The sequence below is a fragment of the Homo sapiens genome, chromosome 18 (assembly GCF_000001405.40).
Source record: "Homo sapiens chromosome 18, GRCh38.p14 Primary Assembly".
In the NCBI taxonomy this organism is placed as follows: domain Eukaryota; kingdom Metazoa; phylum Chordata; class Mammalia; order Primates; family Hominidae; genus Homo; species Homo sapiens.
The window spans coordinates 57826715-57841529 of NC_000018.10; the positions used below are offsets into that span (position 1 = coordinate 57826715).

The 14815-nt window shown below is 42.7% G+C and overlaps 1 pseudogene, besides 4 other annotated features; it reads left to right on the forward strand.

Annotated features, from left to right (window-relative positions):
* Window positions 6063–6357: a silencer, noted in NCBI's record as "tiled region #13131; HepG2 Repressive non-DNase unmatched - State 23:Low". NCBI's record gives its function as "represses a minimal TATA promoter and a strong SV40 promoter by Sharpr-MPRA in HepG2 cells {active_cell/tissue: HepG2}" and the evidence as "EXISTENCE:reporter gene assay evidence [ECO:0000049][PMID:27701403]".
* Window positions 6735–6934: an enhancer, noted in NCBI's record as "active region_13378". NCBI's record gives its function as "activates an Ori minimal core promoter by ATAC-STARR-seq in GM12878 lymphoblastoid cells {active_cell/tissue: GM12878}" and the evidence as "EXISTENCE:reporter gene assay evidence [ECO:0000049][PMID:35858748]".
* Window positions 6975–7064: an enhancer, noted in NCBI's record as "active region_13379". NCBI's record gives its function as "activates an Ori minimal core promoter by ATAC-STARR-seq in GM12878 lymphoblastoid cells {active_cell/tissue: GM12878}" and the evidence as "EXISTENCE:reporter gene assay evidence [ECO:0000049][PMID:35858748]".
* Window positions 7105–7154: an enhancer, noted in NCBI's record as "active region_13380". NCBI's record gives its function as "activates an Ori minimal core promoter by ATAC-STARR-seq in GM12878 lymphoblastoid cells {active_cell/tissue: GM12878}" and the evidence as "EXISTENCE:reporter gene assay evidence [ECO:0000049][PMID:35858748]".
* RSL24D1P11 (ribosomal L24 domain containing 1 pseudogene 11) lies at window positions 11716–12523 on the forward strand (annotated as a pseudogene).

Genomic DNA, 14815 nt, shown 5'->3' on the forward strand with positions numbered 1-14815 from the left:
TTAAATCAGTGCTTCTCAAATTACCCGAGGTGAGGACCAGTTTTTCTTTTTTCAATCTGTTTTGGACTTTTTTTTTTTTTTTTTTTTTGAGAGATGAAGTCTCACTCTGTCGCCCAGGCTTGAGTGCGATGGTGCAATCTTGGCTCACTGCATCCTCCGCCTCCCTGGTCCAAGCAATTCTCTTGTCTCAGCTTCCCAAGTAGCTGGGACGACAGGTATGCACAGCCATGCCCAGCTAATTTTTGTATTTTTTAGTAGAGATGGGGTTTCACCATGTTGGCCAGGCTGGTTTTGAACTCCTGACCTCTGGGTACAGAGCATAATATGGTTCTAAACTATTTCTGTTTGGCTTTAAAATCATTTATAACAGAGAAACCAAAATCGCAAGGTGATAGAAATAGAAGAAGAAATTTTGAAGCATTGGATTAAGCCCAGGATATTAATTTTTTCACTTTTCTGCAAAAGGAAGCAAGTGATGCTGTATTTTCAAAATGTATCTTTAATCATTCGTCAGTAGGCAGTCCCAACAATTTCTCCTGTAAAATTACAGGTCAATTTAAGCTATTTTGTGATGGAAAAAATAGATTCCAGATCTAAGAATTTCCTATTTGTGTATCTTCTTTTGATGGAAAACAAAATTCAAAACATTTTGTCAAATTCATAAGACATGTGGTGGTAAGTTTTGACAGATGTGCAATATCAAGATTATCACCTATTTTATTGATAATTATGGAACATGTATGACAATCTATAATCATAGCATCTGAAGGAACAGTACTGGCAAGTTTCTAACTTCTACTTTTTCCTTTTAATCTTTTGAAAAATATATTGTACTCCTTCCTTGCATGGAAATATTAAGATTACTCAAAATACTGATGATATCAAACAAATCAGCAAGATTGTTTTTACATTATTTACATCTTTAAAAAGGTGGAACCAAGGCTGGGTGCAGTGGCTCACATCTGTAATCCAAGCACTTTGGGGGGCCGAGGCGAGAGGATCACTTGAGGTCAGGAGTTCGATACCAGCCTGGCCGACATGGTGAAACCCCATCTCTACCAAAAATACAAATTAGCTGGGCATGGTGCTGTGCGCCTGTAATCCCAGCCACTGGGGAAGTGAGTCAGGAGAATTGCCGGAACCTGGGAGTTGGAGGTTGTAGTGATCCGAGATCGCACCACTGCACTCCAGCCTGGAGACAGAGTGAGACTCCGTCTCAAAAAAAAGGTGGAATCAACCTATTTTTTAATCTTTCAGAGGCGCAGAGTTTGTTTCACAGTTCAAACATTCTTGATGGATGGCCTCCTTTTGACAAACATCGTACCTCAACATGCAGTGTTACATATAATCAGCTTTCATATTGTTACATAAATATAATTATCTTAATTTTAACACATTAGCTTTTATTTAATTCACAATTCTTACTATAATGCTCATCACATTGACTTTTTTTTTGTAGTAAGATGTTATGGAGGAAGCAGTATGTTGGTTTATATTCCAGTGTAAAATCCTTAATCTGTGTATCTATTCTAGAAAGCTTTCCTGTCATTGCGGCTACACCATCAGAACTCACCCAGACAGGAAGCTTAAAGTGCAAACTACACTTAAACCAATATAATCCTTCAGAGTTTTAAACAGCTCAGAGCTACTTGTGTCCATAGGCAATTAAGTTGAAAGAAATAATTATTTATTTGATAGCATCATCTTCAAATCACACATATACTTTAAAAACTGCCATTGGCAGCCATATGTGGTGGCTCACTCCTGTAATCCCCTCATTTTGGGAGGCCAAGGCAGGTAGATTGCTTGCGCCCAGGAGTTTGAGACCAGCCTGGACCACATGGCGAAACCCTGTTTCTACAAGAAAAAACAAAAAATACAAAAAATTAGCCAGGTGTGGTGGCACACACCTTAGCCCTGGTTACTCAGGAGGCTGAGGTGGGAGAAGTTGAGGCTGCAGTGAGCCATGAGTGCATTGCTGCATTCCAGCCTGGGCAACAGAGCAAGACCCTGTCTCAAAAAAAAAAAAAAAAAAAAAAAGACTGCCATTGGCAATATGTGTACATTAGTCAAGTTGCAAAGAAAATACTAGCTTAATTTATTCAGTTGGTTGGTTTCTGTAGTTCCTGAATACACTGAGCTATAATATCATAGGAAAATGGTACCTGAGCTACCTTCTCTGTCAAAGATTTACCCATTTCCAAATAAAATTTTTTTTTTTTTTTTTTTTGAGACAGAGTCTTGCTGTCGCCCAGGCTGGAGTGCAGTGGCACGATATTGGCTCACTGCTATCTCTGCCTCCCAGGTTCAAGCAATTCTCCTGCCTCAGCCTCCCAAGTAGTTGGGATTACATGCGCCCACCACCACACCCAGCTAATTTTTGTATTTTTAGTAGACACGGGGTTTCACCATGTTAGCTGAGCTGGTCTCAAACTCCTGACCTCAAGTGATCCGCCCACCTCAGCCTCCCAAAGTGCTGAGATTACAGGCATGAGCCACCGAGCCCGGCCTCAAACATCCTTTCTTCAATCTTTTACTAATGTCTCAGCAACTGTACTTTTCAATCTTAGCAACCCAAAGTGCTGCTTCATAAGATACCTGCAAATTACTAATGTTTGTAAATGAAATATCAAGTGACTGCTTCCATCAGCTTTTTAATTTGTTAGTCTTTCCTTAAGAGGATTTTTTTTTCGTTTTAAAAAGAGATGAGGTCTCATTATGTTTCCCAGGCTGCTCTCAAACTCCTGCGTTCAGGTGATCCTCCCGCTTCTGCCTCCCAAAGTGCTAGGATCACAGGAGTGAGCCACCGCACCCAGCAAAAGGATTATTTTGGTATTGAACTTTTCACGCTTTCTATGTAAATGCTGCTTAAGTTTTGATGGTTTCAAAGCATAATTAGCCAGTACAGCTCTATAAATAACACATCATAGTTTTTAGCAATTTGCCATCAATGATCGCTACAAACCCAACATTAATACATAAGTGAATATATATCTGAGTAAATTAGTATATATGATTTTGCTTTTATGCTATTGGAAATAACATCTGTTGTTACTATTTGGTTGACTATCACTGCTATTTTTGGAAAAAAACAAGTCTTTTCTTGACAAAAATAGTCCAGTAAATCTTGTGTCACCATCAGTAAATTAAGGTAAAAAATACAGAAAACCAGGCACAGTGGCTCACACCTGTAGTCCCAACACTTTGGGAGGCCGAGACGGGCGGATCACCTGATGCCAGGAGTTTGAGACCAGCCTGCTCAACATGGCGAAACCCCGTCTCTACTAAAAACACAAAAATTAGCCGGGCGTGGTGGCCTGTGCCCGTAATCCCAGCTACTCGGGAGGCTGAGGCAGGAGAATCACTTGAACCAGGGAGTCGGAGGTTGCAGTTAGCCAAGATTGTGCCACTGCACTCCAGCCTGGACGAGAGTGAGATTTCATCTCAAAAAAAAAAAAAAAAAGCAAAAACAAAATACAGAATACAAAATTGTCTTTACAACTAATAATGCTAAACTATAAATTGAAAGGCAAGCCTAATTAAGGGCTAAAATTACGATAATGTAATAAATTATGAAAATGTATGTGTGGTCCTAACATGCACGACTAGGATGTAGTGCACTCTACATGACTCAGCACCTGAATTCAAAGCCCCCCAAACTCATCTATACCCCGGTCAGTGAGACAAGTCACTGTCTTGGATATTGCAGCAAATTCTAGATGTGCACCTTCAAAATTTCTGGGCTCAACTCATGGCCAAATGGCAGCAAACTGTTCACAGACAAACTCCGGTCTGTTTGCCTCACTTGGAGTAGCACCGTTTTAAAATGGCAGGGATTGAATCTTGATAGAGGTGACATTTGAGCAGAAACTTGAAAGAAGGGAGGCTACCCGTCTTATTCATATTTGGGGGAAGGCAGTGTAGGTAGTAGGGCCAGCAGGTGTAAACTTCTTCCTCAGGCAGAAACATGCTTGTGTGCTTTAGAAGTAGCCACCGGGGCAGCGTGGTGGCCGCAGAGTGGAGAAGGGGCAGGGCCACGTGGGATGAGGTTGGAGACAGTGGGCAGGGGCTAGATGACACTGGCTTTGTAGTCAAGATAACAACTTTTGGGCCAGGCGCGGTGGCTCACGCCTGTAATCCCAGCACATTGGGAGGCCAAGGTGGGTGGATCACCTGAGGTCAGGAGTTCGAAACCAGCCTGCCCAACATGGTGAAACCCTGTCTCTACTAAAAATACAAAAATTAGCCGGGCATGGTGGCACATGCCTGTAATCCCAGCTACTTGGGAGGCCAAGCCACGAGAATCGCTTGAACCCAGGAGGCAGAGGTTGCAGTGAACCGAGATAGTGCCATTGCACTCTAGCCTGGGCAACAGAGTGAGACTCTCTCTCAAAAACAACAAAAAAACCCCTTTTGATTTTGCTCGGAGTGGGGGATTTGAGATGGGGAGTGACATGTTCAGGTAAGTAATTTACTCCCAAATTAAACTTCCCAGGATTACCCACAATTCCCCTGCATATGGCAAATCTTGCAGTAGATCAGGAGGGTCTAGGGTCAAGAGGATGAAGCAAACGCCACTGAAGCGGCTACGTTGTCTGGGGTATAAACCCGGGGTTCGGCCGGGCATGGTGGCTCACACCTGTAATCCCAGCACTTTGGGAGGCCAAAGCGAGTGGATCACCTAAGGTTGGGAGTTTGAGACCAGCCTGACCAACATGGAGAAACTCCGTCTCTACTAAAAATACAAAATTAGCCTGGTGTGGCGGCGCATGCCTGTATTCCCAGCTACTTGTGAGGCTGAGGCAAGAGAATCACTTGAACTTGGAAGGCTGAGGCTGCGGTGAGCCGAGATTGCACCATTGAACTCCAACCTGGGAAACAAGAGCGAAATTCCATCTCAAACAAAACAAAACAAAACAAAAAAACCCGGGGTTCATTGTCGGGTACCAGAGTAATTTAGGACACAGACACACAGGAGGAGTTTAGGGGTGGAGGTTTAACAGTTAGAAGAGAAGAGAAAGAAAAACAGCTTCCTCTTAAAGGAAGTGTGTCTGGAGTTGGTTCCTGCCAGTGGGTTTGTGGTCTCGCTGACTTCAAGAATGGAGCCATGGACCTTTGCAGTGTTAGAACTCTTGAAGATGGCACGGACCCAAAGAGTGAACAGCAGCAAGATTTATTGTGAAGAGCTAAAGAACAAAGCATCCACAGCGTTGATGGGGACCCGAGGCGGGTTACTGCTGCTGGCTGGGGGGTGGCCAGCTTTTATTCCCTTATTTGTCCCCTCCCATGTTCTGTTTCTGTCCTGTCAGAGTGCCCTTTTTTCAATCCTCCCCGCGATTGCCTACTTTTAGACTCCTGCCGATGGTTGCATTTTACAGAGCACTGATTGGTGCATTTTACAATCCTCTTGCTCACTACAGAGTGCTGATTGGTGCATTTTTACAGAGCACTGATTGGTGTATTTTACAATCCTCTTACTAGCTACAGAATGCTGATTGGTGCATTTTACAATCCTCTTCTAAGACAGAAAAGTTCTCCAAGTCCCCACTCGACCCAGGAAGTCCAGCTGGCTTCACCTCTCAGAAGGAGTCTCTGAGCAGAAAGGACCAGCTGGTGGAGAACGCACCGAGTTTTATAGTCCAGTTTGAGGAGGTGTTGTCTGATTTACTAGGCCTCACAGATTGGTTCCATCATGTATGACATTTACAAAGCTCTCTGGGAAGGCTTGTCGCCCTACCCTAATCTTCTTATGCAAATGGACTTTCCAGTTGATGGGGGCCATATTATCTGCTTCTTACCGTACACGTGGCTGGCAGAGAAGGCAAGATGGAGCCACCATCTTGAAAAGGTCTAGTCCTTAGTTCCTGCTGGCATTCATCTGTGCAGCAAGCTGCCAGCTTGCTTGTCTATGTCTGCAGCTCAACTTTTATCAGCTGCTCTTTGTTAGAAAATTATTTGGGGCTGCTTTTCATTAAAAGGAAAGCCCTACCAAGGACTCCCATGCCCTTGCTATCTCCCTAAGTAATTCCTTTTTACCTCCTATATCACCACAAGCCAGCTTTCCTGGGAGTCCCCTAGTTTCTCTCCAGGCCCTAGGTCACTTCCTATCACCACTGAATCTGTCAGCATCTTTTTGGTGCACTCAGGCCTCCTGGCTCTCCTCCTCAGTATAGCCTTGAATTAATCACCAACTTATCACATAGTGAACAGATGTAGCCTTTTCCAAATCACTCAGGGTCTTCATTCTGAACCCAAATCACCACTCTGTGCTTTAAAATATCTCTCCCTTGCAGTTTGGTGTGGGTGTAGGACTACATTCTGGCCAATGGAGCTTGAGCAGAAGTGATACATGCAACTTTCAAGTCATGCCCCGTGCCCGTTCTTTTCTTTCTGCAGGAGGGAATACAGATGAATTGGCAGGATCAGGAGCAGCCATGTTGCACCAAGAGAAGATGAAAAAAGCATATGTTGCAGATTGCAAAGTAACTAGGTAAGCATTTGAGTCCCTAAAACTATTCCTGGTATGACTGGTAGCGGCATACTAGCTTGGACTTTTTTGTGTCAGAGAAATAAACCTTCATCTCACTTAAATCAGTATTATTTGGGGCCACTCTCTCTGTAGTAGGAGTGAAACTAGTATCCTAACTAATTTAACTGTCAAAAGAAAAAAAAATATGAGGCGAGAAAATAAGGAATCAAGAAACAAAAGTCAAGTTTTACTCACTTCATAGCTTGGCTCAAAAGCAACTTTAAATATGTGAGAAATGCAACAAATGATAATCATGCATACAGAGAAATTCCTCAAGTGACAAATGCTTTTACTTTCATTTCCTTTCTTGAAAATTGACAGAGTAAGATTCAGATGCATGTACTGACACTCACGTCAGTAACATCGGCTCAGGTTAGACTTTGGTCGTCTTATCCTTCGACTACCTAAGGGACTCATGGCCAGTATATTTTACAACCCCCAGTGCCAGTTACTGAATTCTCACCTGAGAATGAATTCCCTAAGTCTGTAATGTTTCATCATCTTGCAACACAGATAAGCCTGTGTTTAGAGCAGGCTTTTCCATATGAGTCCCTCCTCTTTCACACTGGGGCTGAGTAGAAGGTGATTGACCTGCCTGAGACTTTATCAGTTTGGAGTTCATGTTCCATGTGGTGTTGGAGGGAGCAATGGAGGCTGTGAAATCAGACATCCTGCTTTTTGACAGGGTTGTTTGATGACTCACCCAAGCCATTTTTTATTCTCGGTGCATATTCTAGTTTCCCTTCTCCCGACAGTAGCCTGATGCACCTGTGCTTGCACTGTCCTTAAGCCTGTTGCTATTGTTATGTGGTGTCACTGAGCCCAACACTGCGTGCGTGTGTGTGTGTGTGTGTGTGTGTGTGTGTGTTGAAAGGGGTAGGAAAGTGAGGATGATTTTCAACCATTAAACCCTTAAGGGGCCATCTTCTGAAGCCTGGCATCATCATTTTTGTTCTCAAGAACATTTAAGTCAAAAATAACAAGGTTCCTTTTGCTCATCTTCAAATTATTTTACTTGTTTGATCCAACTGCTAACTAGAAGGTGAATTCTTTCTGCTGTCATTTCATAATTCTAGTGTATTAAAAAGAGATGGGGGCTGGGCACGGTGGCTCATGCCTGTAATCCCAGCACTTTGGGAGGTCAAGGTGGGAGGATCACTTGAGGCCAGGAGTTCAAGACCAGCCTGAGCAACATAGCAAGGCCTCCTACAAAAAATTTTAAAAATTAGCTGGGCATGGTGACACCCACCTGTAGTCCCAGCTGCTTGGGAGGCTGAGGCAGGAGGATTGCTTGAGCCCAGGAGTTTAAGGTTGCAATGAGCTTCAAGTTTTTATACCTTCAATCATACCATTTGTGGCTTAGGAACCCCTAATATATTACATGGAGGGTAATGTAGACACCAAGAAAATGATTGAAAACAATTTATGCCTAAATACATTTGTATTCTTCTTTAGAGAAACCTAGTAGACAAACTAAAAGCTACTAAGCAAATAAATCAAGGTACTGTATTTTACAAAATGACTCAATTTATGCATCATTTAAAGAGTGTGGATCCCTTGGGAACTTTAAACATGGTTGCATTAGTTAAACAGTTGCTTCATTCAGATCCCTCTAGGAACTTGGGCAGCACAAGGGAAGGGGGGCCTCTGTTCCTACTGTGTGGTCCTGGTGATCTGTGTAGGTATCTTCTTTTACCGGGTTAAGTGATAAAAACGGTGTCTTGTGCTCTTTTATCCAAGTCCAAGGAGCATCTTTGTGGGTGTGGGGTTGCAATTATACCTTTCCTCCCTGGGCTGAATCCACAAAGAAGAAGAGAAAAATAACATTTCTGGAGACCTGGCCAAGCCCTGGAATAAAATGGTTGCCTGAGAGAAACTGCAAGTTTGGGAGGCGGGGACTCTTTTCATTGTAACCAAGAGTGGAGTCCTCCATTTCTTTTTCTTTTTTCTTTTTCTTTTTTTTTTTTTTTTTTTTTTTTTGAGACGGAGTCTCACTCTGTCGCCTAGGCTGGAGTGCAATGGCTCAATCTCGGCTCTCTGCAACGTCTGCCTCCTGGGTTCAAGCTATTCTCCTGCCTCAGCCTCTCAAGTAGCTGGGATTACAGGCGCTTGCCACCAGGCCCAGCTAATTTTTTGTATTTTTAGTAGAGATAAGGTTTCACCATGTTGGCCAGGCTGGTCTCGAACTCTTGACATCAGGTGACCCACCCACCTTGGCCTCCCAAAGTGCTGGGATTACAGGTGTGAGCCACCGCGCCCGGCCTCCTCCATTTCTTTTACTTTCCTTTAGTCAATAATGGAGACAGTGAAGGCATAAAAGTGTTCATGCTAAAGACCATTTTGAAAATCCAGCCACTTCCTGTCTGTTACACTCCAGCTGCCTATGTCCTCATCGTGTAATGGGAGGGTCACTCTAGAAGAGGAATGGGCCACCGACTGTCTAATGTGACCATCCTCCTGCTGAACTTGGGGAAAATGTCACTTTTTGCTCTGAACCCAGACCTAACCTCTGGATCTTGCTCTATGCCATGCTCCAGAAAGCCACCACTATCAATGTGAGTTGCCACAAAAATTCAATTTTTTGTTTAATAGACTTAGGATCTTCAGTGAAACTTATGGCCATCCCCAGTGGTCACTTCCATCTCTAACATCTCACGACTTTATGAAAATAAAACAACCAGCTATCATCAGGGAGAGAACACAGAGTTAGGAGTTAGTGGATAAGGGTGAGGGTCATGGGTGAGTTACTTCCCTTCTCAAGCCCCCTACTCTCTCCTTCAGATCTACATGTTACTGTCTCAGGCCAGGTTCCCTGACCATCCTGTTTGCAGTGACAACTGTTGCCCCCCACCTCTAAGTACTCCCTACCCCACTTCCCGTTTTATATCTGATCATTAGCATTTGTGATGGTTAATTTTATGTTTCATCTTGACTGGGTCATGGGGTTCCCAGATACTTGGCAAAACGTCATTTCCAATTCTGTCTATGAGTGGATCACCCTCCTCAATGGGCTGTTGAGGGCTTTAAGGCAGAGGAAGGGAGAATTTGGCCTTTTTTTTTTGGAGACAGAGTCTCACTCTGTCACCCGGGCTGGAGTGCAGTGGTGCGATCTTAACTCACTGCAACCTCTGCCTCCCAGGTTCAAGCGATTCTCCCGCCTCAGCCTCCCAAATAGCTGGGATTACAGGCACATGCCACCATGCCCAGCTAATTTTTGTATTTTTAGTAGAGATGGGGTTTCACCATATTGGCCAGGCTGGTCTCAAACTCCTGAGCTCAAGTGATCCACTTGCCTCGGCCCCCTAAAGTGCTGGGATTACAGGCGTGAGCCACCTCGCCCAGCCCTGAATTTGGTCCTTCTTTTCTGCCAGATGACTTGAGCTGGAATATCACTCTCTCCTTCCCTCAGACTGCAGTTTACATCATCAGCTCCCCTGGTTCTCAGGCCTTTGGACTCAGATTGAATGATACCCCTGGCTTTCCCCAGCTGCCAGCTTGCAGATGGCAGATGGTGGGACTTCTCGGCCTCCACAATCACATAAGCCAATTCCTTATGATAACTCTCCTTCTCTTTCTCTCCTCTCCCCTCTCTATTTTGAGCTGATTATTTTGGGAAACTGCAACCACAGGAGAAGCTCTGAAAACAGAGTGGAAGTTACCTTATCATCCACATTACCCCAGGAGGACAGGATGACTCTAAGTCACTGGAGACAGTTATCCTTTATTGATGGAGAAGGCACTGACTTAAATCTCCATAACAAATCTTACTCTTATTTGCCAGTTTTTCCTGAGCATAATCAACTTTCCCTACACCCTTCTTTTTGTTTCAGCAGACATGGCATTTAAGTGTGAGTTCAAAGCCACCTCTTTGAAATTTACCAATTTCTCTGGGTATCTCCCTGTATACTACACGAGGTATACATGTTAATAATCTTCTGTTTATTTGTCTCTTTTTAATCTGTTTTTTGTTACAGTGGCCCATCCCAACTAAGAATTATGAAAGATTGAGAGAAAATTATCTATTTCCCTACATTTATAGTAATGTAAATAGCATAGCCACTCTGGAAAATATCAGTTTCTTAAAAAGCTAAACACTTGGCCAGGCACAGTGGCTCACATCTGTAATCCTAACACCTTGGGAGGCCAAGGCGGGCAGATCACCTGAGGTCAGGGGTTTGAGACCAGGCTGGCCAACATGTCAAAACCCCGTCACTACTAAAAAATACAAAAATTAGCTGGGAGTGATGGCAGGCGCCAATAATCCCAGCCATTCAGGAGGCTGAGGCAGGAGAATGGCTTGAACCTCGGAGGCGGAGGTTGCAGGGGGCAAAGATCGCGTCACTGCACTTCAGCCTGGGCGGCAGAGCAAGACTCTGTCTCAAAAAAAAAAAAAAAAAAAATAGGCCAGGCACAGTGGCTCAAGCCTGTAATCCCAGCACTTTGGGAGGCCGAGGTGGGCAGATCACGAGGTCAGGAGATCGAGACCATCCTGGCTAACACGGTGAAACCCCCTCTCTACTAAAAATACAAAAAATCAGCCGGGCGCAGTGGCAGGCGCCTATAGTCCCAGCTACTTGGGAGGCTGAGGCAGGAGAATGGCATGAACCCGGGAGGCGGAGCTTGCAGTGAGCCGAGATTGCGCCACTGCACTCCAGCCTAGGCGACAGAGCGAGACTCCGTCTCAAAAGAAAAAAAAAAATTCTGATCCCCGAATGCTCAGGGAGACTGATTTGAGTAATAATGAAACTCTGGTCTCCCACACAGACAGCTCTGCATGAATGACTCTTTCTCTGTAGAAATTCCCCTATCTTGATAAAACAGCTCTGTCTAGGCAGTGAGCAGGGTGAACCCGCTGGGCAGTTACAGCATGAGGCAGCCTTGTAGTGATGGCACAGTTGTGTATCTCGATTGTGTTGGTGGTTACAGGAAGCTACACTCGTAATAAGATTGTATAGAAGTACACACGTGTGTGCTTATAAAAACAATGAAATCTGAATCAGCTCTGTGGAGCATTTCAATGTCAATTTCCTGATTTTGATTTTGTACTGTAATTATTCAAGATGTTACCACCACTGAAGGAGGCTAGGTATAGGGTACACTGGGCCTCCCTGTACACTTTCTTTGAACCTTCTGGTGACTCTATCATTATTTCAAAATGAAAAGTCAAAAAAGAAATTGTAGTTGGGCTCTCAAGCTTAGCGTGTGGTCAGTGGGGAACCACACGGGTTCAACATGCGCATCGAGAAGTGTTATTTCTGTTCGGGGCCCATCTACCCTGGCTATGACATGTTGTTCATCCACAACGATTGCAAAGTGTTCGGATTTTGTAAATCTAAATGTCATAAACACTTTAAAAAGAAGTGCAATCCTCGCAAAGTTAGGCGGACCAAACCATTCCAGAAAGCAGCTGGTAAAGAGCTTACAGTAGATAATTCATTTGAATTTGACAAACATAGAAATGAACTTATCAAATACCAGCGAGAGCTATGGAATAAAACTATTGATGCAATGAAGAGAGTTGAAGAGATCAAACAGAAACACCAAGCTAAATTTATAATGAACAGATTGAAGAAAAATAAAGAGCTACAGAAAGTTCAGGATATCAAAGAAGTCAAGCAAAGCATCCATCTTACCCAAGCCCGTCTTGCAGGCAAAGGGAAGGAGTTGGAAGAGAAAATGGTACAGCAGTTACAACAGGATGTGGACATGAAGATGCTTCTTAAACATTTCTGTAACCATTTATTTTATGGACATTTGAAAATGCCCTTTGGAGACTTGGAACTGCTAAATTATTAGTTTATTTTTTACATAAGTTCATTTAAATGAAAAGTGATTAAAATATATCTCTCCTACACTGCCATCTACAAAACACAAGATATTACGGATGTTAGATTGCATCTCAGTATTAAATCTTCACTGATATGTGTACTTATGTAAATCACGAAAATTCTACTTATAACTGTAGAAGTGAATTGTGGACGTAAAATGGTTATGTCATCTGGATAATGGACTAGACAGCATTTGTATAATCACTAATGGCAAAAAATCATGGCTAGTGATGTATAAAATAAAATATTCTTTGCAGTAAAATATTCACTTTATTAATGTTATAGAAGGGGGGAGACAACAAGGAACTAACAATTTGTATGACGGTGTCAAATATTTTGATTTTAGTATTTCCTGTTTTGGTTTATTTGCATCTTAGAAGAGCATAATGACATTGTTTGATGAAGCCTAATTATGCTGGACTGTTTCAACTTGGTTTAACCTTTCTGATAGGTAGTTGTGGATGTTTGGGATGAGAACTGAATAATCTTTGCCTGGAGTGACACTACACTCTAGAATTTCCACTTTGGAGAATACTCAGTTCTAACTTCTGATTCCTGGTAGAAAAAACTTTATTTTTCTAGCCTAGCAATGATCTAGAAGCAGAGGAATCCTAGTGCCTTTTAAAAGTTATTATGTGGTTTTCTGTTAAAAAGCTCCTGTTTTTGGAAAGTAGAATTTATGGATACAACATCTGCTCATTATTTGCACATAAAATAAAACCATTTAAAAAGAAAAAAATTATAGTTGGACATAAAACAATGTTTAAATTTAAAATTACCTCAGGATATAGACATGCATGGAACTAATATTTTATACATAATCTTAACTTGCTTTTGTCAGTGTATCTACTTGTAAATGTGTCTCACCATTCGGTTCCCTGTGTTCTGTTGCTGAATATGGTGTTATAGCACTTCTGGTATGATAGCCGTGGACTGTTCTCTGATTTTCTCCATTTTTTGCTAATGATGTGTAACTATGACATGTGGACAGTACCCGGATTGCCTGGTTTGATCACTATGGCTACTTATGTAAGCATCTCATGGCAAATCTTGTCAGAGCACATATAGATTCTGTGAATCTGCATGGTCAGAGTAAGCTTGCTCTCTTTGGGTGGCTGGAGGGTTATGAATATTTTTCACAACTGTCACTTCCTGAACTTGACCTTTGGTATACTTTCCAGATTTGCTAATGCATCTGCTATGCTTGAGGCATGGCTTTAAAATAATATAACTTTTTCGGCCAGGTGCGGTGGCTCATGCCTCTAATCCCAGCACTTTGGGAGGCTGAGACAGGCGGATCACTTGAGGTCAGGACTTCAACACCAGCCTGGCCAACATGGCGAAACCCTGTCTCTACAAAAAATACAAAAATTAGCCTGGCATGGTGGTGCATGCCTGTAATCCCAGCTACTCGGGAGGCTGAGGCACGAGAATTACTTGAACCCGGGAGATCATGCCACTTCACTCCAGCCTGGGCAACAGAGCAAGACTGTCTCAAAAAAAAAAAAAAAAAATTGGGCCAGGTGCAGTGGCTCACGCCTATAATCTCAACAGTTTGGTGGACTGAGGCAGCTGGTTCATTTGAGCTCAGGAGTTGGAGATCAGCCTGACCAACATGGGTGAAACCCCGTCTCTACTAAAAATACAAAAATTAGCCAGGCGTGGTGGTGCATGCCTATAATCCCAACTACTTGGGAGGCTGAGGCACGAGAATCTCTTGAACCCAGGAGGCGAAGGTTGCAGTGAGCTGAGATCGCACCACTAAACTTCAGCCTGGGTGACAGAGTGAGACTCCATCTCAAAAAAAATTTATATATATATATATAAAGATTATATATATAAAATATTATGTATATAATATATATATAACTTTCTCAAAGCAAACGATACCATTTTGATCTCCTATTATGTACTAGTTGTTACATATGTTATCTTATTTAGAACTTATACTAATCTAGTGAAATATGTGTTTCTTTCCTTGTAGAACATAAACAAGAGAAATTATTTATCTGAATAAATGTTGTTCCTAAGCACCGTTATTCCAGCAATGCTGTTGTGCTTCACAGCCCTGTTAAACGTGTCTTTTAGGCTTGTTTTCTGACTCTGTAGCACATCCTTTTGACTGCACTCAGTTGTGGAAAATTTTGATCTTTTTAAGTGTAGGCATCTGTAGTCCCAGCTATTTGGGAAGCTCTGCTGGGAGGATCCCTTGAGCCCAGGAGGTAGAGGGTACAGTGAGCTATGATCGTGCCATTGCACTCCAGCCTGGGTGACAGAGCATGACCCTGTCTCAACAGCGTCTCAACAAAACAACAACAACAACGAAACCAAACCAGCCAACCAAACAAAAATAATAAAGTTTAGAATTTGTCTACCTACTTACCTACCTACCTGTATCTATCATCAAAAGTAATTCAGCACAAATTAAAATAAGGAAGTATTTTTAACTTACAGGTTA